Source organism: Homo sapiens, chromosome 9 (assembly GCF_000001405.40).
Source record: "Homo sapiens chromosome 9, GRCh38.p14 Primary Assembly".
NCBI lineage: Eukaryota > Metazoa > Chordata > Mammalia > Primates > Hominidae > Homo > Homo sapiens.
In genome coordinates, this window is record NC_000009.12 from 136710709 (window position 1) to 136731855 (window position 21147).

The window sequence follows — 21147 nt, forward strand, 5'->3', positions numbered from 1 at the left end:
CTTTGTGACCTTCGGTTAGGCAAAAATTTCTTAGAGATGACACACTCAGAGCACGATCCGGGCTGGTGGCAGTGGCTCACTCACGCCCAGAATCCCAGAGCTTTGGGAAGCCAAGGTGGGAGGATCGCTTGAGCCCAAAAGTTCAAGACCAGCCTGGGCAACATGGCAAAACCCCATCTCTACAAAACATTAAAAAATTAGCCTGGTGTGGCCAGGCACGGTGGCTCATGCCTGTAATGCCAGCACTTTGGGAGGCCAAGCCAGGCGGATCATGAGGTCAGGAGTGATCCTGGCCAACATAGTGAAACCCCGTCTCTACTAAAAATACAAAAATTAGCCGGGCATGGTGGCTTGCACCTATAGTTCCAGCTACTTGGGAGGCTGAGGCAGGAGAATCTCTTGAACCTGGGTGGCGGAGGTTGCAGTGAGCTGAGATCGCGCCACTGAACTCCAGCCTGGGCTACAAGAGTGAAACTCCGTCAAAAAAAAAAAAAAAAAAAAGGAAAAGAAAAGAAAGAAACTGTTAAGAGAATGAAAAGAAAGCCACAGACTGGGAGAAAAATCTTTGCAAATCACATGTGTAATAATGGGCAGATATCCAGAAGATATAAAGAAGTCTCGGACCAGGCATGGTGACTCACGCCTGTAATCCCAGCACTTTAGGAGGCTGAGGCAGGTGGATCACTTGAGGCCAGGAGTTTGAGACCACTCCGGCCTGGGCAACATAGCAAGACTCCCTCTCAAAAAAAAAAAAAAAAAAAAGTCTTGGCTGGGCACCAGGTGACTCATGCCTGTAATCCCAGCACTTTGGGAGGCCAAGGCAGGATGATCCCTTGAGCCCAGGAGTTCGAGACCAGCCTGGGCAAAACACTGAGACCCAGTCTCATTCTAGATATTAAAAATTAAAACCAAAATGTAAATAAGTCTCAAAACTTAATAATAAAGAAACAACGTGATTTTTATTAATGGTCAAAAACTTGAATAGACTTTGGAGAAGATACACAGGTGGTAACTGAACACGCAGAAAGTGTGTTAAACACGCGAACCACAGCCCCAGCGAGACGCCACCACCAGGGAAATGGCTAAAATGTAAAAACCTGCCGATAGCAAGAGCCGCCCGGGATGCGGAGCAGCTGGAAGCGCCGGCGGCCGCGGGGAGGGAGCGAGTCTTGGCAGCTGCTGGCTGCGCCCCACATCCCTCACCGTCCAACTCAGCCCCCCCAGGTGTTTACCGAAGTGCAATGAAAGCTTCTGTTCACACGGAACCTGCCTATGGAGGCGGCAACGGCTCATCCCCGAGCACCCCACGCGGAGGCGAAGGAAGTGTCCTCCCGGCGAGTGGCCAAGGCGCGGGGTCTCAGCCAGGAGGGAAGGGTCGGACCCCGGGGCGGGCTGCAGGCTCGGCCAGCCCAGGGCTCCGCGCGTCTGACCCCATCCTGAGGACCCAGGGGAAGGACCAGCCCTGGCTCTGCGGCCTCGAACCGGGGGCGCGCGTGGGGAGCCCTGAACCCCGCAGCCTGCGTAGCGCACGGGGCCTCTCTCCAGCGTGGGAAGAGCCCCCGAGACGCCCAGGAGCCCGACAGGCGCGCCCCCGGCCCCGGCTCCGCCTCCCGGCCCATCCCGCGCGCCCCCAGCCCCTCCCGCAGCACCGTTGCATGAGGGGCGGGGTCTGCGGGTGGGCGGGGCCTCGGTGCCCGCCCCCTCCTCAGCCGAGCCGGGGGTCGAAGGCGGGCCGCGCGCCAAGCCCCGCCCCCGCGCGCCTCCGCCGCGACCCTCCCCCGCGCGCCCCCGCCGCGCCGCCGTCGGCCGACAGAAAGGCGCGCGCCCTCGCCTTTAACGCGGGCCCGGGGGCGCGCGGCCCGCATGGCGAGGGAGCGGCGGCCGCTGCGGGCCGGGCCGGGCCGGGGCTGAGGCCGAGCGAGCCGCGGGGCCCGCGCAGCCCCGGCCGGAGCCCACCATGCGGCGGCTGCGGCGCCTGGCGCACCTGGTGCTCTTCTGCCCCTTCTCCAAGCGCCTGCAGGTAAGCGCGGTGCGCGCCCGCCGCCCCCGGCCGCCTCTGCCTGGGGAGGCCGAGCTCCAGCCCCGGAGTGGGCCGAGTACGGAGCGGGGCCCCGGGTTCGGACACGAAGGGTTCATGAGCCCGGGGTGGGCAGCGGGGAGGGGGCGAGTGGCTCCGGAAGGACGGGACGCTGGGGGAGGGGCGGTGGCGGCGACAGGAGGGTCCGGGCGCGGGGATGCTGCGGCCTGGAGGCCCTCGCCCCGACCTGCAGGCGGTCCCTGCCCCCCAGGCCCAGAAACCACACCGAAGTCCTTTCTTCTTTTCTCCACTTAAAAAATGAGGTGTGTTATTCTGCGGTAGAAAACTTGGGACGCACAGAAACGCCCTGGCAAGGACATGACCTCCCCGCCCCCTGCCCCTTCATCCCATCAGCCAGCCGTAGCGCGGGGACCCTGCCCTGACCCCGGGATGACCTTGAACCACCGTCCCCTCCAGGGGCCTGGCCGGGTCCGCAGGGGAGGCCCGGGCCGCCTTGGGTTCCAGCTGCCAGGAGCCCTTTCACCTTCTGCTTTGGGGAGATGCAGGCCAGGCCCATCAGGCTCCAATCATCCGGGGCCCGGCCTCGGATGGGATGCCCTCCCAGACCCTCCAGGACCCCAGCCATCTGCCGGAGGCGCCAGTCCTGGTCAGATTTGCCTGTATCTCCCCGGCCCCCGCAGGGTGGTCCTGGGTCAGCAGGAGGAACCCTGCCTGCGTCCTGCCTGAGCTCAGGGCCTGGCTGGCCTCAGCTCCCCTTCTGGGAAGAGCGTATGGAACCTGGCAACCCACAGATTGCAGCGAGACCCTCTGTGCCCACTTGGGGCTTCAGGTTGTGGTGGTCCCGGCTCAGCCTTGGGGCAGGGTGAGAGCTAAGGGGTCTGAGGACCACCCCAGTCGCTGGGAGGTGGGGTGCACAGTGGTCCCCTCCCCCGAGGAAAGGCCTCGACCAGCAGCTGCAGAAGAGATGCTGATGCTTGGAGCTCCGCCCAGGAATGGCAGCAGAGGGGTGTTGGCTGCTCCCAGGGTGGCTGGCTCGGGGCCAGAGCCCTGGTGGGAGCCCAGCCTGCCCCTCTAGTGGCGAGGGCCTCAGTTTCCTGGCCTTGTGAACTGCTTTTCTGGGTTAGTGCTGTGGGGCTCCTGGCCCACGGTCTGAGCCTGCTGGGCTGAGGACCACTGTGCTGTTCCCATCCCCTGGGTGACCTTCCCTATCCTCCAAGTGGCTACACCGGGAGCTGGTCCCCACCTGCCCCTGCAAAGCCCCAGCCCAGGTCCTGGATGGTGGGGCCACCTCCACACTCAAGCTTTGCCCGTCCATCTGTGCCAGGCCCGGGAGCCAGGGTGGGCCAGGGAGCACTGTGGGGGCCTTGCAGAGCAGCTGCTTGGGACCCCAGGATCCACAGCAGGGTCAGGGATGGCAGCTGGGGAAGATCAAGACCTAGGGGAGAGCTGGGCAAGGTGGCTCCTGCCTGTAATGCCAGGCCTTAATGGGAGGGTCACTTGAAGCTGGGAGTTCGAGGCTGCAGTGAGCTGTGACTGGACCACTGCACTCCAGCCTGGGCAACACAGCAAGACCCTGTCTCAAAAGAACAACAACAACGAAAGAGCTGGGGGATGAACCAGAGCTGGCCAGGCGGAAATAGGCCCTGGCCCAAGCCCAGTCGGGGCTCTGGGGAGCAGAACTGGGTAAGTCCCTAGCTTGGTGTCACTGTCCCCAGCTGGGGTCAGCCCTAGGCCCGAGGCCAGCTGCAGCCTCCCTCCTCCTGGCTGTCCTCCGAGGCCCCGCCCATGCTGGGCCTCCCTGCATGGCCCTGCCTTGGGCACGTTCACCCCAGACGGAGCCATCCGACCTTATCCTGCCAGAACAACACCCACCCCCCATTGTTTCTCTGCTTTCCTGTTTTTCATCTTGAGCAAGTCTGCCGGAAACAGATTCAGTGCCCAGGACAAGTGGTCTGAGGGGGCGGAGACCAACCTGGGCCTGGAGGGCTCCCCACACCGGAGCCACGCCCTCTGCTCCAGGACCCCCAGGACCCCACTGCTACTGGAGGTCTGGGCCCTTCCCCAGCTGCTGGGGGTCCTCCCTCTGTAGCCCTGCCTGGGGCGGCCATCCGTGAGTGGATGCCGGGGAAGCAGGAGACCAGGGCCCACCCATCCTGAAAGAACCAGAAAAAACGACCTCAGCTGCCTGGGCTGTGCCTTGTCCTCGTTGAGGAGCTGGTGGCCCCATTTTAGGGAGGAGTCCCCTGCTCACGGCCTAAGCCGGGCTGCAGCCCACGACCTCTGATGGGGGCTCTGGCTTGGGCAGGTGGGGGTGTGGCCAGGCGCTGCCGGGAGGAGGATGTGCCCAGGGCAGCCTCTCCCTGGCCGCAGGTGGACAGGAGGCCACAGGGAGTGCTTGGAGCCAGCAGTGGGGCCTCTCTGAGGGGAAGCTGGCCCCCAAGCCTGGGCCCTTCACCCTTCAGCTGCAGGTCAGGGATGTCTGAACCCCTGTGTAGGGCAAGTCCCCTCTGCTGGCCAGTGCCTGAGAGGCCTGAAATTTGCTAGGGGGCTGGGGAGAGGGAAGGTGGCATGCAGCTGTCCCTGGCTGTCACCCTTGGAAGCCCAGCTTGGAGGCCTGCACCCTAGAGCCGGTGCCTGAGCCTCCTCAGGCCGGTAGGGAAACCAAGGCAGAGGGACTGAGGATGGCAGAGTGACCTGGAGCCCTCCCTAAAAGCCGGCTCCCAGACATCTGGGTCAGAGCTTTAGGCAGGGGCCAGGGGCTGCCTGCTTACTTTTTTTTTTTTTTTGAGACGGAGCCTCACTCTGTCGCCCAGGCTGGAGTGCAATGGCGCCATCTCAGCTCACCACAACCTCTGCCTCCCGGGTTCAAGCGATTCTCCTGCCTCAGTCTCCCAAGTAGCTGGGATTACAGGCATGCGCCACCATGCCTGGCTAATTTTGTATTTTTAGTAGGGATGGCGTTCCTCCCTGTTGGTCAGGCTGGTCTCCAACTCCCGACCTCAGGTGATCTGCCTGCCTCGGCCTCCCAAAGTTCTGGGATTACAGGGGTGAGCCACCACGCCCGACCTTAATTTTTAACTGCGGTAAGATACACATGGCATAAAGTGTATCATCTTAACCCTGTTTAAGGGCACAGTTTAGTGGTCACCTCCCTCTGTCCGCAGAGCTCTCCGCCTTCCCAAACTGAAGCTCTGTCTGCATCAAACGCACACTCCCAGTCCCTTCCCAGCCCGCGGCTCCCTCTACTCTCCTTCCTGTCTCTATGGTTTTGGCGACTCTGGGGACCTCGTGTAAGTGGGTCCTGCAGGATTTGTGCTTTGGTGACGGGCTCGTTTCACTGAGCCTCTTGTCCTGGGGCTCCTCCCTTCTGGGTGGACATCAGATCTCCTTCCTTCTCAGGACACAGTCACTCCGCAGTGTGGATAGGATAGACGCAGCTGCTCTTCCATCCCCCGGCTGTGAACTTAAGGACTGCCCACCCCTGGGCTGTTGTGAACATCGGTGTCTGAGTCTGTGTCTTTTTTTTTTTTTTTTTTTTTTGAGACAGGGTCTCGCTTTCTCACCCAGGCTGGAGTGTAGCGTGGGGTCACAGCTCACTGCAGCTTCAACCTCCCGGGTTCAATCAATCCTCCAGCCTCAGCCTCCCAAGTAGCTGGGACTACAGGCGTGAGTCACCATGTCCAGCTAATTTTTGTATTTTTAGTAGAGATGGGGTTTTGCCATGTTGCCCAGGCTGGTCTCGAACTCCTGAGCTCAAGCAAGCCACCCACCTCAGCCTCCCAAAGAGCTGGGATCACAGGGTGAGCCACCGCACCCAGCTAATTTTTGTATTTTTGTAGAGGCGGGGTTTCCCTATGTTGCCCAGGATGGTCTCAAACTCCTGGGCTCAAGCAATCTGCCCGCCTCAGCCTCCCCGAGTGCTGGGTTTACAGGGTGAGCCACCATGCCCGGCCCGCCTGCGTCTCTTAAAGGCTTCCAGGATGTGGCTGCGTTGGGCTCCTAGGGCCCCGTTCTCCAAACCTGGTTCTCCTTGTGGGTCTGGTCCGGCCGGAACTTCCCACCAATCTGCATTACGGTGGACGGTGGGAAAAATAGGGGCAGTGTCTCTCGCGGTGGGCGCGCTCACCTGGCCTTGTGCGGAGGTGACGATGTTATGAAATGAGATCAGGATAGGAAGGGTTTGTAAAAATATCTTCATTCGGCCAGGCACAGTGGCTCACACCTGTAATCCCAGCACTTTGGGAGGCCAAGGCAGGTAGATCACCTGAGGTCCGGAGTTCAAGACCAGCCTAGTCAACATGGTGAAACCCCGTCTCTACTAAAAATACAAAAATTAGCTGGTCGTGGTGGTGCATGCCTGTAGTCCCAGTTACTCGGGAGGCTGACGCAGGAGAATCACTTGAACCCGGGAGGCAGAGGTTGCAGTGAGCCGAGATCGCGCCACTGCACTCCAGCCTGGGCTACAGAGTAAGACTCCCTCTCAAAAAAAAAAAAAAAATTTCATTCAGCAGAGGAAAGAATCGGCCACCCTGTAGTCCCCTGGTTTTGACATTTATTTGTACCTGCCCATAACACTGAAAAGTCTGGGCAGCGCCTGCCCCCACCTCCGGCCCCTGCAGCCCCTGGTATGTGACCCTGGAGAGGCAGAGCCAGGAGTGGGTGTCGCTGAGCTGGGGGTGATTCTAGAAGACGGGGGTGCCAGGGGGCCAAGGGGATGGCAGGGGAAGGCTGGGGTGGATCCGGAGGCCCTTCCTGTGGGAAGTGGGGTTGAGAGCACCCTGAGCCTGGGTGCCCCGAGGGCACCTCCTCACGCAGCCCCTTCCCCCACAGGGCCGGCTCCCAGGCCTCAGGGTCCGCTGCATCTTCCTGGCCTGGCTGGGCGTCTTTGCAGGCAGCTGGCTGGTGTACGTGCACTACTCGTCCTACTCGGAGCGCTGTCGCGGCCATGTCTGCCAGGTGGTCATTGTAAGTGTTGCTTGTGCGGGCTGGGGACTGGGCCGTGCCCCCTGCTGCCCAAGATGCTGGGGCACCAGGCCCTGGAGACACCTTCCTCCCCAGACCCAGGGCCCACGAGGCACGTGGGTTTCTAGGTGGAATCTGCAAAGCTGCCTCAGGCTGGGTGTGGAGGACAGGGGTCCAGGGGAGGACGGGGGAGACGTGCGGGGCTGCCTCAGGCTGGGTGTGGAGGATGGGGGTCCAGAGGAGGATGGGGGAGACGTGGGGGCTGGGGGCAGAAGGCAGGGCAGACTCCAGAAATCTTTGGGAGGGAGGATGTTTAGCAGGAAGCCTGGGGTGGGCAGCTGGCCTCACTGCTCCGGGATAGAGACCCCCGTGTGGTGTCCTCACTGGATGGGATAGAGACCCCCGTGTGCTGGCCTCACTGGTCCAGGATAGCGACCCCCGTGTGCTGGCCTCACTGGCCTGGGATAGAGACCACCGTGTGCTGGCCTCACTGGTCCAGGATAGAGACCACTGTGTGCTGGCCTCACTGGTCCGGGATAGAGACCCCCGTGTGCTGGCCTCACTGGTCCGGGATAGAGACCCCCGTGTGCTGGCCTTAGTGGCCTCGCTAGCCCCCCTGGGACCAGGGGTCCCCTGAGGCAGGTGGCAGGGCAAGGTCCTCCACAGCCTCCACCTCAGGGAGATAGGGCTAAGTCCCCTGGCGTATGTGAGCATGTGTGTGTCTGGGAGCAAACGTGTCCACATGAGTGCACACCAAGGTGACCCCCTGCCCCTCTCCACACCCTGTGACTAGCTCAGAGGGGAGGTCATCCCAGCTCTGTCTTCCTGGCAAACCCTAGACTCGCCCAGAACTGGGCAGGTCCCCCACTGAATTTTGACCCCAGGCTGCCCGATGACCAGGGTTCCGATGCCTCCACTCCCCTTGGGGTCAGGCCTGGGCATAGAAGGATCTGGCCTGTAGCAGCGGCCACTGTGGGTTGTCATAGGGTGATTGGGTGCAGGGAGACCCCAGGTTCGGTGTCTCCTCCGTCAGATGGGGAGAGCACCTCTCCTGGCAACTGGGTGGTGGATGAAGCTAGCCGGGTGGGCCTGGGCAGGCCTGTGTCCCACAGAGCCATGTCTGACGGGGGCCACATGTGGAAAGGCCCAGATGTGGCAGTGGAGGACTGGGGTGTGGGGTCCGGAGCTAGGAGAGCTTCTGTGCCCAGGACTTGTTTGGAGCCCATGCCAGCCCAGGGGAGGCCTCCGGGCCCCTGGACCAGGCCTTGCTCACCCTTGAAGTCCAGGGGGCCTCTGAGCCCAGCAGGGCCGGAGGGTGGCACATGGGGCTCGTCCTGGGGCCATGGGTGGGGAAGGCTGTGCCCCGATCAGATGCACCCCTGGAGCTCCTAGAAGGACCAAGGAGGTGGAGGGGCCGGACCTCCGGGCCGGGATGTTGTGGGTGGGGGCGGGTGGGGGTGAGCAGAGGATTCACGTGGCCAGGCAGGTTCTGAGCACCTACTGGGTGCCGGGCCGCAAAGCAGGAGGAGGTGCCCCCACAAACAAGAGGAAGCTGCAGCGTCGGTTTCCCAGGGTGCCCTGGCCCTTTGCCCAGTGGGGGTTTCCCTGGCTGCTCAGAGCCTTCCCAGAGGTCAGGCCAAGCCCAGCTCTCCCGAAGCCACCCCAGGGGCCATGGAGACGTCCCCTCCTTCCCAGAGGAGGTTCCCTGCCCGGCCTCGTGGGGGCATTGGACGCCTCAGAGAGGCGCAGAGGCTGGCCCAGCGCACACAACGAGGCAGCAGCAGTGCAGGGCCAGTCCCAGCTTCCACCAGGGCCCTCGCGAGGCCAAGAACTAGACCGTGAGTCCCCACTGAGCCCTGCTGCAGGCGGGGAACAGGCTGGGCGGTGAGGGGACCGATGTGCGGCAAGGGCCCTGAGGAGGCCAAGCACACGCCCGCCTCAGCCTCTGAGGAAGCCTCTCCACACTCTGCTAGGTGCTGGTAGGTGCCCAGGACCATGGAGGCAGCTCCATCTCCCCACCCCTGGGGGACCCTGGAGCCCCAGCCCCAGCCCCAGCCTGGCAGACAGCAGTGTGGCCCACAGGCTCCTTCCCCAGCACCACTGTGTGCCAGGAGCAGGGCAGCCTCCTGCGGTCCTGGGGCTCCGGGCACAGGGGCTGGTCTGGGGCTCCGGGCGCAGGGGCTGTGTGATCTGGGGCTCCGAGTGCAGGGGGCTGTGTGGTCTGGGGCTCCGGGTGCAGGGGGCTGTGTGGGCTGGGGCTCCGGGTGCAGGGGCTGGTCTGGGGCTCTGGGTTCAGGGGGCTGTGTGGTCTGGGGTTCCAGGCGCAGGGGCTGGTCTGGGGCTCCGGGTGCAGGGGGCTGGTCTGGGGTTCCGGGTGCAGGGGCTGTGTGGTCTGGGGCTCTGGGTGCAGGGAGCTGGCTGGTCTGGGGACGGGAGTGGACTCCGGTGGCAAAGGGCCTGCCTGCAAGGTGGAGGGTTGGACAAGTGTGCAGTTTTCCTTCATTTTCCTTTTCTGTCTTGACGAAGAGCCGGCGTTTTCTTGCTGCCGGGACAGACGCTGCCTTCATGACTCACGTGGCGGGGTCCTCGGCCTCCAGTTGGCCCATCTCACTTCTGTCCCCATCCTTGGTGTGTGGGGGGCGGGGACCCTCCCTCCTCCCCAACCCTGGAGGGCGGGGTGTTCCGCAGCTCCCTTCCCCAGCTCCCTCCAAGCCTGCTTGGCCAGGCTCCATGGCAACTGAGGCTGTACATCCAGGAATTCTCCCCCCCCCAGAGGGGCGGGCCAGCTCCATCCCTCCATCACCTCCCGTGGGGCGCTGGGATTGAGGGGCTGCCAGGCCCCTGGAGCTAGGGTGGGGGCTGAGGAGGGGCGGCAGCCAGCCCCAGGCCTGATGTAATTACTGCTAACAAAGTCTCCCTGGGGGTCTGGCTAAGGAGGGGGCCTGTGGGACAGGGAAGGACAGGCCCGGAGTCATTGTGGGGCCCCAGGGGTCCGTTTTCTCAGCCTTGACAAACAGCTCTGACAACGGAGCGCTTGAGCCTGGGCACTGGCCTCGGAGGGCTGGGAGAGGAGGTAGAGGCTGGGGCTCCGTTGCCGGCTCCACCCCAGGGGTACCCTTGAGACTGTCAGCTCTGGTGGTGAGCCCTGTCCTGGCTGCACTTGAGGCAAACAGTGAGGCCGCAGCCTGTCCTCCTGCCTCAGCCTGGGGAAGGCTGGGCCGGGCCAAAGAGGGAGGCCAAGTCCTTGGGACAGGAGGAGACCCACACCTGAGATTAGTGGAAACCCAGCCAGAAGCTGCCATGCAGGTGTGGCTCTGGGCATCAGGATCTGTCGTGAGAGCCCCCATGAGTGCCCAGTGCAGAATGGCTGGCAGCCCGCCCTGACGGGGAGCAGAGGGGCTGGACGCGGTGCCCTTCACGGGATGACACCCAGCTGTTTGCCCTGTGTCCAGGGGGTTGCTTCTCTGACAGAGGCCCTATGGCTCGTGTCTGACTCCTGTCCAGGTTCTGCCAGCCTGACCATCCATCGCTCTGGCACCAAGAGCCCACCCTTTTGTTCTTCCTGGCGTCCCAGGGAAAGCCCTGCCTGGGTGGGGCAGCTCCTGGCCCTTCAGATGGAAGACGCAGTCCAGTCAGCACCATCATAGGAAACAAGTTCAGAAATGTCTCACTTACTATTCCGGGCAGGGAGGGCGCCATGAGTCAGGGGGTGCATCCTCCCTCCTGGCGTCACCCGAGGCAGGAATGAAGAGTCAGGCAGAGAGCGCGCGTGTGGCAGCTGGTGGTGTAGATATTAGGGACTAGTGTGAATTCTAGTTCACCGGCCAATGCCTGGATGGTCCAGAGCTGGGTCGGCTGGGCGGAGAGCTGCCTCCAGGTTCCTGCCTCTGGCCCTGGCGTGGGGTCGACACTGGGTGTGGTGTGTGTCTCATGTCCAGGCAGTGGCCTTTGCTGTGCCGTCCTGTTACAGGAGCCAGGATGGTGGGGACGGGACCGGACCGGAGGGTTGGCGGGGCTGCCCCTGCAGCCGACAGCCCCATCCTGCAGCCACCAATGGCATGACCCAGGGCCCCGGCACTGCCTGTGTGAGGGGCTGGCAGCTTTCCAACTGCAGCAAGTGGAGGCCCCTGCCAGCTTCGGGCCTGTGGGCAGGGGCTCAGTGGGGCAGGGGTGTGGCTGCCCCGCCCGGCACGCCTGCACCTGTCTCCTCAGTGTGACCAGTACCGCAAGGGGATCATCTCGGGCTCCGTCTGCCAGGACCTGTGTGAGCTGCATATGGTGGAGTGGAGGACCTGCCTCTCGGTGGCCCCGGGCCAGCAGGTATAGCCACTGGCAGGGCGGGTGGGCCTGGGGCTGATACTGCCCGTGCAGTGGGAGGGGGATGTCTGCACGGAGGACCTCTGTGGCCCTGTCCAGGTGTACAGCGGGCTCTGGCGGGACAAGGATGTAACCATCAAGTGTGGCATTGAGGAGACCCTCGACTCCAAGGCCCGGTCGGATGCGGCCCCCCGGCGGGAGCTGGTACTGTTTGACAAGCCCACCCGGGGCACCTCCATCAAGGAATTCCGGGAGATGACCCTCAGCTTCCTCAAGGTCAGGCAGCTCTCCTAGGGGGCAGGGCAGGAGTCCACACCACGGTCATATGCCCAGCAGGCGGCCCTGGCACCAACATGCCCAGCGCAAAGGCACAGATGGGCCCAAGTGGACCCTGGGCAGACCTCCCATCCCCCAGCCCCTGGGCATGAGCCCTGCCAGGGAAGGAGCCTCTCCAGGGCTGGGGGCAAGGGTTGGGGGCGCCGGTGGGCTGGCAGCTGAGGTCGAGGGGAGGCTCCTGCAGTCAAGGGCCGTGTGTCCAGCAGGGCAGGTGCCCCGAATGGAGACCAGGGCTTGTGGAAAGGGGCCGCTTCCCAGGGCTTCAGCCAGTGCGTGCCCTCTGCCCTGTGCCGATTCTCATCCTCAGGGAAGCTCTGAGGCTTCTCTGCCCAGGTGCCCACCCCCGAGCTCCCCAGGTGCACCCAAGGCTGCCAGGAGGCGGGAGGTCTGTCTGGCAGCAGCCACACAGGCCAGCAGAGTGAGCTGACACATTGCTGGCTGCGTCCTCCACCCGTGTAGCTGTGGGCTGGGACCCCTAACCTGGCAGATGTGCTGGTCTGGCCGGCAGACCACCCCGCCAGGAGGACCAGGTAAAGGCCAGGTCGTGCTCCCAGACATCAAATCAGCTGGCTTTTCCTTTCTTTTGGTCCCAAACGCCAGGCGAACCTGGGAGACCTGCCTTCCCTGCCGGCGCTGGTTGGCCAGGTCCTGCTCATGGCTGACTTCAACAAGGACAACCGGGTGTCCCTGGCGGAAGCCAAGTCCGTGTGGGCCCTGCTGCAGCGTAACGAGTTCCTGCTGCTGCTGTCCCTGCAGGAGAAGGAGCACGCCTCCAGACTGCTGGGCTACTGTGGGGACCTCTACCTCACCGAGGGCGTGCCGCATGGCGCCTGGCACGCGGCCGCCCTTCCACCCCTGTTGCGCCCACTGCTGCCGCCTGCCCTGCAGGGTGCTCTCCAGCAGTGGCTGGGGCCTGCGTGGCCTTGGCGGGCCAAGATCGCCATCGGCCTGCTGGAGTTCGTGGAGGAGCTCTTCCACGGCTCTTACGGGACTTTCTACATGTGTGAGACCACACTGGCCAACGTGGGCTACACAGCCACCTACGACTTCAAGATGGCCGACCTGCAGCAGGTGGCACCCGAGGCCACCGTGCGCCGCTTCCTGCAGGGCCGCCGCTGCGAGCACAGCACCGACTGCACCTACGGGCGCGACTGCAGGGCCCCGTGTGACAGGCTCATGAGGCAGTGCAAGGGCGACCTCATCCAGCCCAACCTGGCCAAGGTGTGCGCACTGCTACGGGGCTACCTGCTGCCTGGCGCGCCCGCCGACCTCCGCGAGGAGCTGGGCACACAGCTGCGCACCTGTACCACGCTGAGCGGGCTGGCCAGCCAGGTGGAGGCCCATCACTCGCTGGTGCTCAGCCACCTCAAGACTCTGCTCTGGAAGAAGATCTCCAACACCAAGTACTCTTGATGGGGCAGTGAGGGGCCTGGCCACCCTTCCTGGAGCTGGCCAGGTGCCAGGGTCCAACCCTCCCTCAAGGAATCCTGTCAGAAGATGTGAAATGCAACTGTGTTGCAAAATCACTCCCCTACCGTCAGGGCTCTGGATTCCAGCACCACAGACATGAGACCCCAGCTCGGAGCAAAGGCGGACATGGACATCCCGGCAGGAGAGTCCTCCAAGGGGGTTTGTTACTCTGAAGAACGTAATGTCAATAAACAGCTTTTATGTAATGCCCAGGGCTGAGCACCCTGAGCCCCCATCGATGCTGTGTGTGGGACCCTTCGCCCCGCTGTGGATCCACCCAGCCCAGGCACTCAGGCTGGGGTTGAGCCCCTGAATCCTTCCTGGCGAGGCAGCCCTCAGGTGTTAGTCCAAGGTGAGGTCTATTGCAGAGCTGCCTGCCCTTCAACCCACACACACCTCTGAAGCCGCCAGGGCAGTTCCCCAAACACAGCGGCTTCTGAAACAGTCAATGACCAGTACCCCCCAAACCTGGGCTGTGCACAACAGACCAAGAAAAAGGTGTTCCAGTAAGAAAACAGATATATGCGGTATTTTAAAAACTGATTTTACAAAATCCAGCCATGAGATGTACAACTCATTCCCTAGGAAACAGCCCAGGAATGGCCATCTTCTCCAGCCCCGTACGCTCTCCCCAGTAGCCCAGGGCACCCAGCAACCATCCCCTAGGAGAACAGGCAAGGACCCTCGTGGGAAGATCCCACCACAGCAACACCTTTCTTCAGGGCGGGCTCTGCTCCGCAATGTGTGAGTCAAGACAATCCATTCCATTCAAGACCAATTTACTCTCAAATTTTGCCAACACAGAAATATTATCCTTAAAGAAATGTGCATTTAAATCTTTTAATTCACTTCATCCTGTATTTTAAAATAAATGTTTTCCATATAGATTTTCCCCTTGGGGGGGAAAAGAATTCAGGGTCTTAGGTTCCAGGCAGTTCAAAAACAGCCACGCGGTTCTTTTTTCTCCACCAGAATACCACAATAGCAGAACTTAAGAATCGGGATATGAAAAGGGAGGCGTGGTCCTGGCAGTGGCCCCTGGCCGGCAGGAATACACAGCAACACCCAGGCAGGGGCAGCGGCTGCCCCCATGCCAGCCTGCCCATCCCTGTAATGACAGCAGGGCAGGAGATGCAGCTGTGGCCCTGGGGGCAGGTGGGCTCTGAGGCTGCAAACACCCTGAGTGCCAGTGGTCCCAGAGGGGGTGAGGCCTCTATCTGTACCTTTATTCCAGCCAGCCTCCTGGCACAGGGCTGGGCCCACATCCTGGCCTCTGCATCTGAAAAACAAACAAGGACAGTGATGCAGACCAGGGTTCTTTAACCCGGATTCACCAAATGACCCTCAGGGAACCCAATTTATGAAATCCCGAAACTGTACTTTTTTTTTTTTTTTTTTTTTTGAGACAGAGTCCCACTCTGTTGTCCAGGCTGGAGTGCAGTGGTGCGATCTCGGCTCACTGCAACCTCTGCCTCCCGGGTTCAAGCGATTCTCCTGCCTCAGCCTCCCAAATAGCTGGGATTACAGGCTTGCGCCACCACACCTGGCTAATTTTTGTATTTTTAGTAGAGATGGGGTTTCAGGCAGTTGGCCAGGCTGGTCTCGAACTCCTGACCTCAGGTGATCCACATGCATTGGCCTCCCAGAGTGCTGGGATTACAGGCCTGAGCCACCGCGCCAGGCCTCCAGAAAGTGTATTTTGAAGTTATCTTTCTTGATACTGTCTCTTAGCAGGAGTCTGACACTGGCACTGCTGACATTTGGGCCACATCACTCTTCACTACGGGGCGTCCCAGGCACTGCAGGACATGCAGCTGCGTCTTTGGCCTCTGTACCCCCATTGCTACCCATTTTGGGGAGAGGATTCCTGTTTCCAAAGTGACCCAGACACATCTCTGGGCAAGGCAGCTCCTGACCCCTACCCAGGGCCCTTCCTTTGTGCACAGGAGTTGCAGCCCCGCCCCCGCCCCCCTGGGATGACTAGTGCTGGACAAGGAACAGCCTGTTTATCCAGCTCGACTGTTCTTAATCAAACTTGCCTAAGGCCTCCCAGACAGACCTACAGAATCGTTTCCAGAACGAGGCCTGGGAGTGAGACGCACACTCCTGGTAACCCCACAAGTGCCCGAGCTTCAGATACACACACAGCTCATTTATACATATCTACACCTCAGGGTTCCCAGCGATGTTGCTGCCCCTCCCTCATGGAGCAAACCAGGTAAGGTGGTTTCCAAAAGCGAAAATCCAAATGCTGCCTGGCTTTGGTTGCAAGTAATGTCAGGCCATAAACCATTCTCAGTGCCCACTGGTTCCCGAGCACTGAGTGTAGAAATCGCCACTTTCTCTTTGCCCCGAGGCCACAGGCACAGCAGAGCAACTGTCTGTGGTGCCAACAGGTCCAGGACAGCATCCGCAGGGCAGCCGCTCACACGCACCCGGCAGGCAGGGAAGGAGGGCAAGCCTCCGCCTCACCTCTTACCTGGATCAGGGCTGGTGCTGGTCAGCCTGGTCACTCTGGCCAGTGCTCACACTGGAAGTCCATCACAGGCGAAGTCACCTCCTTCCCGTGTTAAATAACAAGAATGCTTGGCAAAGAATCAAGAACACAAGCGGCTGCCGTTACTGCTATTAACCGAGACGCCAGCAAACCCTTCCCCAGTCCTGTCCTGCGTGATCCTGACACGGTGTACGGCATGATCCAGCGCGTACCTCACCTGACCTGACCGATCCTCACAGGTTCTTAAAACTCACTCATGAAGGCTGCTCCTGGTGAAGGCACCCTCCACCTTCCCACTATCCCTTCAGACCCCTAGAGGCCAGCCTAGCCCAGCGCGAGAGTTAGAAAGCCCACTCACAGGGCCCACCCTCTCTCCCAGATACCAGCGAAGGAAAACAGATGCCTGTCCACAAAACAGGAGTGTGAGACTATCAAACATTCAAACGTTCACGGGGCAGAACGCTGAGCGTAGACATAGCCTCTCTAATCTCTGCCACCTAATGACACAGATGTGACACGGCAGCCACAGCTGCAACGCCTCTAGGGGCAGTGTCCTGTTGAAGACTAAATAATCCGTTTTTACTCCCCTGGAGACAGCTTCTAGCCTCAATGTGAACACAAGACCGACTGGTCCCTCCAGTCACTTAAGATGTTGCACAGGAGGGCTTAGTTACATTGGAGGATTGACCCTGTTCCAGCTCCAATGCACCAACTTACCCAACACCCCACGCACGTGTCATCTCCAGTGAGCAGACGTCCTAGAGAAAAAAAGAAACCGCAATTTTGTATAAATCTTGCAAACACCACAGAGGAGCATCACATAAACACTGCGTTTTTTGGGAGGCCGAGGCGGGCAGATCACTTGAGGTCAGGAGTTCAAAACCAGCCTGGCCAACACGGTGAAACCCGTCTCTCTAAAAAAAAAAAAAAAAAAAGTTAGCTGGCCTAGTGGCTGGCGCCTGTAATCCCAGCTACTCTGGAGGCTGAAGCAGGAAAGTCGCTTGAACCCAGGAGGCAGAGGTGGTAGTGAGCTGAGATCGCGCCACTGCACTCCAGCCTGGGCAACTGAGACTCTGTCTCGAAAAGAAAAAGACTGCGTTTTGCTGCATCTGGTCTCCAGGAAGGCGGACCAAAGAAGCTCCCTGCCACCAAAAAGCTCACTGTCACAAGGGCCGTTCTAGAAAAATCCGACCCATGTTACTCTCTCCCCTTACTCTACGCTTAATTTGCGGGAGGGGAAGTTGGAGTTACAACACAGTGGCCACGAAACGCGGGCTGCTGATCCCCTGCAGGTATCAAGGGACCAGGACCACGAGGCGGAATGCCCACCAGACAACCGAGCAGTCCTCCTCCCGCCAGAACAGCCTCCCGCTGAGCAGCCACAGTGACAAGGAAACCACCTGACGCAGCATAAGAAATCAATTTTTCAAAGATGCCGACAAACATCTTCCCACAGCCTGAGCGACTCAGGGAAGCAGCGGCAGGAGCGGAAGGGTCGTGGGTGAACGGGGTGCCTTTCTCTAAGATCCGAATTCGCGCACTCAGCTCTCACCAGGCTTCCCGAAGCTTCCTGGCTGGAAACCGCGCAGGGCCGGCAGCGCCCTCTCCACCAAGGGACACACCAGCGGCGCCTCCTCCGCGGCCCGGGCCCCCATCCCGCGGCTCGCGCGGCCAGGACGCCCCAGGTCGGAGCCTGCCCCCACCCCGCACCCGGAGGCCAGCAGCCCAGTCCCCTAGGCCGCGCAGCGCCAGCGAGAGCGAGGCTGCAGGGCGAGGCCCGGTGAGGCGCTCGAGAACTGGCCGGGAGGAGAAGTCAGGCGGCCCACCCGCCACGGCAGCCTCCGGCGCACGCAGAGGACGAGAAGGGAAGCGCCGCGCCTTTTATAGCGCGTACGGCGGCCCGCAAGAGTCAATCCGCCCCGCCCAAGCAGCGCCCCCCAGCGGTCCCCGGCCGTTCAGCTCCCCGCGCCCGCACGTGGGCGCTGCTCAGTGGCTGGCGGGCGGGCGTGTGGGTTCGCCACGCAGAGCAGCGGCAGCGCCGTGACCCGTGTCCTGCACCGCGACCGCCCCACGGGGCCAGCAGCCAGGGCCGCGCCGTTTCCGACCCGCCGGGTGCCGGGCACGCCACGGACACGCGCGGCTCCCCGTTTTCGCGGAGGATTCCCAGGCCGGGTCAGGAGGACGCTCCACGAGCCCGTGGGTCCCGGTGGTCCCAGCCATTGGGGCGGCTCCCGTGACTGTCGAGCAGCGCCCACCCCGGGCAGCATGGGGCTCCCGCGACGCGCTCCGTCCCTTCCCCACCAGGGGCTCTGCCGGTGTCGGCCATGGGCGCGGGTACACACCAGGCGCCTAATGAGTGCTGAGGCGGGCGAGGGTCCCGGCAGGCGGGATTACCGCGGCCAGGCCTGACTAGCGCCCTGTCTGCGCTGTGTCCTGGGACCTCGGTCACCGCGCAGGGCGGGACACCGAGGCCTCGCGGCCAAGCGACTCGCCGCGGTCGCCGGGCTGCGAACGGTGGAGCCGCCGGGACTCGGACCAGGACGCGAGCTCCAGAGCAGGGGATGACAGGCCTGAGCCGCAGGGGCCGGGAGGAAGGCCGCGCTGCTGTCCTGGGGCTGGGCAGCCTCCGCATTGCACAGCGCAGACCGCTCTAGCCTTAGGCCTGGAGGGGACACCAGGAGATGAGGCTTCTGGCTCAGCCTGCTCTCTGCAGCCACAGGCAAAGGCCAGGAAGGCCGGGGTGCGGGAGCTGGCATAGGAGCTGGCTCCAGCTCGGGTACTGGCTTAGAGGGAGCAGGAGCTGGTGATAAATTCAACTCAAATTTTCATTGCCTTTGCAAAGCCAGAAAACACCCCAGGGCTCCTAAGAAAAGCCCCAGCGCAGGACCCCAGGACACTTTGCAACTGGGCTGCAACTGCGCGGTCTGAGGCTCCTCCCTGTGTGGCCCCACCAGCAGGCTGGGTTCTAGCTCTGGTGTTGGGGCTGGAGCTGGCACCACAGCAGGCTCCACCTCCAGAGATGGTGCAGGCTCTGTCCTAGCACTGACACGGTTGTTGGAGACAAGCTGGCTCTGCCCCGGGGACCGATGCTCTGGAGCTGCCTCTAGCTGTGTTGCTGTTGCTAGTCTTTGCCCTGGGAAAAGTGTCAGAGCTGGTCCTAGCTCTGGATATGGTGCTAGAGCTGGTTCTTGATTGGATTTCGCTCTAGAGCTGGCAGGAACTCTGGCTCTCGTTCTGAAGCTGGTGCAGGTCTGAGATGGCTGTAGCTCTGGAGCTGCCTCTAATTCTGGTTCTGGTTGTGGAATCAGCCATCGCTTTATATCTGGTGCCAGCTCTGGCTCTGGAGGTGGTGCTGCAGCTGGCCCTTCCTCTGAACCTGGCACTGGCTTGAGGTCTACACCTGGAACTGGCTGAAACTCTGGAAGTGGTTTTGGAGCCGGTGCCCGAGCAGTCACCGGAGGTGGCACCAGATTTGGTGATAGAGCTGCCTCTGTTTCTGGAGTAGGTGGTAGAGCTGGTGCGGCAGCTGGAGTGAGATCTGGAGTTGTGCTGGCTGTGGCCATAGTTCTTGAGCTGGTACAGGAACCCGCACTGGTGTGAGCCGCGGTGCTGAAGCTGGGCCTGTAGCTGATGCTGGCCCTGGCTCTTTTTCTGAACCTGATGCTGATATTTGGCCCTAACCATGCAAATGGTTTTGGAACTGGTCCTGGCTAGAGGGCGGATGCTGGAGCTATAGTGGAGCCGGCACAGAAGTGACCAGAGCTGCCCCTGTCTCTGGGTGTGCTGCTGGAGCTGTTGCTGGAGCTGGCTCTGATCCTGGAACTAGCACCCGAGTTGTAGCCGGAGCTGGCTCTACCTTCTGAGCTGGTGCAGGAGTTGGCTGTAGCTCTGTAGCTAGTGAAAGCTCTAGCTGTGGAGAGAGGGCAAGAGACATCTCCTCCTTCAGAGATACTGAGTCCATTGCACCCGACCCAGCACTTGCTCCATGCTGCGGGGTAGATCTACCAAGCACTTACTGAAACCAGTATGCATAGCCCCGGAGCAGACCATGACCTGCTGAGACCCAGGAGAGGACCTGAGCCCCAGCACCTGAGAGAGGAGCTACCCCATGACAGTGGGGTACTTAGAAGGTGGAGATGTCACATCCCCTGCCCCAGGTCACATGACAGAGGTCAGAGGGTAGGTAGATGGCACTTCTGTGCAGGTCAGCCCAGGCTAGGTGCGGTGGCTCACGCCTGTAAGGCCAACACTTTGGGAGGCTGAGGCGGGCGGATCACCTGAGGTCAGGAGTTCATGACCATCCTGGCCAACATGGTGAAACCCTGTCTCTACTAAAAATACAAAAATTAGCCGGGCATAGTGACGCAACCCTGTAATCCCAGCTACTTGGGAGGCTGAGGTGGGAGAATGGCGTGAACCCGGGAGGCGGAGTTTGCAGTGAGCCAAGATCGAGCCTTTGCACTCCAGCCTGGGCGACAGAGCGTCTCAAAAAAACAAAAAAAAAAATTCTGGAGAAGATGATGGGGGTGATGGTCGCACGACAATGTGAATGTACTTAATGCCACTGGAGTGTGCACTTAAAAATGGTTAGGGCAGGCCGGGCGCAGTGGCTCATGTCTGTAATCCCAGCACTTTGGGAGGCCGAAGTTGGGCGTATCACCTGAGGTCGGGAGTTTGAGACCATCCTGACCAACATGGAGAAACGCCATCTCTACTAAAAATACAAAATTCGCCGAGCGTGGTGGTGCATGCCCGTAATCCTGCTACCTGGGAGCTGAGGCAGGAGAATCGCTTGAACCCGGGAGGCAGAGGTTGTGGTGAGCCGAGATCCAGCCATTGCACTCCAGCCTGGGGAACAGAGCGAGACTTTGTCTCAAAAAAAAAAGGTTAAGGCCAGGCCGGGTGTGGTGGCTCACGCCTGTAATCCCAGTCCTTTGAGAGGTCAAGGTGGGCAGATTGCTTGAGGCCAGGAGTTCCAGACCAGCCTGGGCAACACGGTGAAAATTAGCTGGACAAAATTAGCCAGGCATAGTCTGTAATCCTAGCTACTCAGGTGGCTGAGGTGGGAGGATCCTTTGAGCCCAGGAGTTGGGGGCTGCAGTGACCTGTGATTGTGTCACTGCACTCCAGCCTGGATAACAGAGACAGAACCTGTCTAAAAAAAAAAAAAAGGTTAAAACGGTGAATTTTATGTTCTGTATATTTTACTGCAATAAAAAATTTAAGGAAATTATTTATTTACTGCCTTAGTTTATTTGTGCTGCTATAACAAAATACCTGGGACTGGGTAAATTATAAAGAACAGAACAGTTCTGGAGGCTGGGAGGTCTGGGAACAAGGTGAGTGTCTGGCGTCTGGTAAGGGCCTTCTTGCTCTGTCCCGTAGCAGCAGAGCAGCCTAGCAGGATGCTGCTTCAGAAGGGCCTTCATCCCATTCACACGGGAGGAGACCTCATGGCCTAATCGCCTCTTCAAAGGCCCCACCTCTTGATATGTTCACACTGGCAACATCTGAATTTTGGAGAGGA

General features: G+C 60.9%; 2 protein-coding genes, 1 long non-coding RNA gene and 2 other non-coding genes across 7 annotated transcripts, besides 7 other annotated features; 1 reads left to right on the plus strand and 4 right to left on the minus strand.

The window, feature by feature from the left end:
• Nucleotides 1-1863: 1863 nt before the first annotated feature.
• On the plus strand, nt 1864-14034 carry DIPK1B (divergent protein kinase domain 1B). The gene is made up of 5 exons (NM_152421.4): nt 1864-2020; nt 6869-7003; nt 11213-11320; nt 11417-11593; nt 12254-14034. Exons 1-5 carry the CDS (start codon nt 1958-1960, stop codon nt 13064-13066), a joined length of 1296 nt encoding a protein of 431 aa, NP_689634.2. The 5' UTR covers nt 1864-1957; the 3' UTR covers nt 13067-14034.
• Nucleotides 2527-3451: an enhancer, noted in NCBI's record as "H3K27ac-H3K4me1 hESC enhancer chr9:139607687-139608611 (GRCh37/hg19 assembly coordinates)". NCBI's record gives its function as "activates a minimal SCP1, AML or CMV promoter by ChIP-STARR-seq in naive H9 embryonic stem cells {active_cell/tissue: H9 hESC(naive)}" and the evidence as "EXISTENCE:reporter gene assay evidence [ECO:0000049][PMID:30033119]".
• Nucleotides 3592-3721: an enhancer, noted in NCBI's record as "active region_29321". NCBI's record gives its function as "activates an Ori minimal core promoter by ATAC-STARR-seq in GM12878 lymphoblastoid cells {active_cell/tissue: GM12878}" and the evidence as "EXISTENCE:reporter gene assay evidence [ECO:0000049][PMID:35858748]".
• On the minus strand, nt 6574-17476 carry LOC124900276 (cuticle collagen 2-like). The gene is made up of 5 exons (XM_047424334.1): nt 17173-17476; nt 16338-16378; nt 15603-15708; nt 14347-14402; nt 6574-13292 (listed from the first exon to the last, which is right to left on the minus strand). Exon 5 carries the CDS (start codon nt 9565-9567, stop codon nt 8632-8634), a length of 936 nt encoding a protein of 311 aa, XP_047280290.1. The 5' UTR covers nt 9568-13292; nt 14347-14402; nt 15603-15708; nt 16338-16378; nt 17173-17476; the 3' UTR covers nt 6574-8631.
• Nucleotides 8732-8781: an enhancer, noted in NCBI's record as "active region_29322". NCBI's record gives its function as "activates an Ori minimal core promoter by ATAC-STARR-seq in GM12878 lymphoblastoid cells {active_cell/tissue: GM12878}" and the evidence as "EXISTENCE:reporter gene assay evidence [ECO:0000049][PMID:35858748]".
• Nucleotides 12949-13243: a silencer, noted in NCBI's record as "tiled region #5701; K562 Repressive DNase matched - State 14:Gen5'". NCBI's record gives its function as "represses a minimal TATA promoter and a strong SV40 promoter by Sharpr-MPRA in K562 cells {active_cell/tissue: K562}" and the evidence as "EXISTENCE:reporter gene assay evidence [ECO:0000049][PMID:27701403]".
• Nucleotides 13886-17476, minus strand: SNHG7 (small nucleolar RNA host gene 7). Of its 3 annotated transcripts, NR_024543.1 has the most exons (5): nt 17173-17476; nt 16338-16378; nt 15603-15708; nt 14347-14402; nt 13886-14231 (listed from the first exon to the last, which is right to left on the minus strand). It is a non-coding gene; the product is annotated as a small nucleolar RNA host gene 7 (long non-coding RNA). The 3 variants fall into 3 exon arrangements; NR_024542.1 differs by having other exon boundaries at nt 13886-14402; NR_003672.2 differs by lacking the exons at nt 13886-14231; nt 14347-14402 and having other exon boundaries at nt 14507-16378.
• Nucleotides 15396-15529, minus strand: SNORA17B (small nucleolar RNA, H/ACA box 17B). Its single transcript, NR_002975.2, has one exon. It is a non-coding gene; the product is annotated as a small nucleolar RNA, H/ACA box 17B (small nucleolar RNA).
• Nucleotides 16039-16171, minus strand: SNORA17A (small nucleolar RNA, H/ACA box 17A). Its single transcript, NR_002958.1, has one exon. It is a non-coding gene; the product is annotated as a small nucleolar RNA, H/ACA box 17A (small nucleolar RNA).
• Nucleotides 17224-17903: a silencer, noted in NCBI's record as "silent region_20538". NCBI's record gives its function as "represses an Ori minimal core promoter by ATAC-STARR-seq in GM12878 lymphoblastoid cells {active_cell/tissue: GM12878}" and the evidence as "EXISTENCE:reporter gene assay evidence [ECO:0000049][PMID:35858748]".
• Nucleotides 18057-18226: a silencer, noted in NCBI's record as "fragment chr9:139623217-139623386 (GRCh37/hg19 assembly coordinates)". NCBI's record gives its function as "represses an EF-1alpha promoter that drives an FKBP-Casp9 reporter gene in an ReSE screen in phorbol 12-myristate 13-acetate-treated (for megakaryocytic differentiation) K562 erythroleukemia cells {active_cell/tissue: K562(+PMA)}" and the evidence as "EXISTENCE:reporter gene assay evidence [ECO:0000049][PMID:32094911]".
• Nucleotides 18674-18823: an enhancer, noted in NCBI's record as "active region_29323". NCBI's record gives its function as "activates an Ori minimal core promoter by ATAC-STARR-seq in GM12878 lymphoblastoid cells {active_cell/tissue: GM12878}" and the evidence as "EXISTENCE:reporter gene assay evidence [ECO:0000049][PMID:35858748]".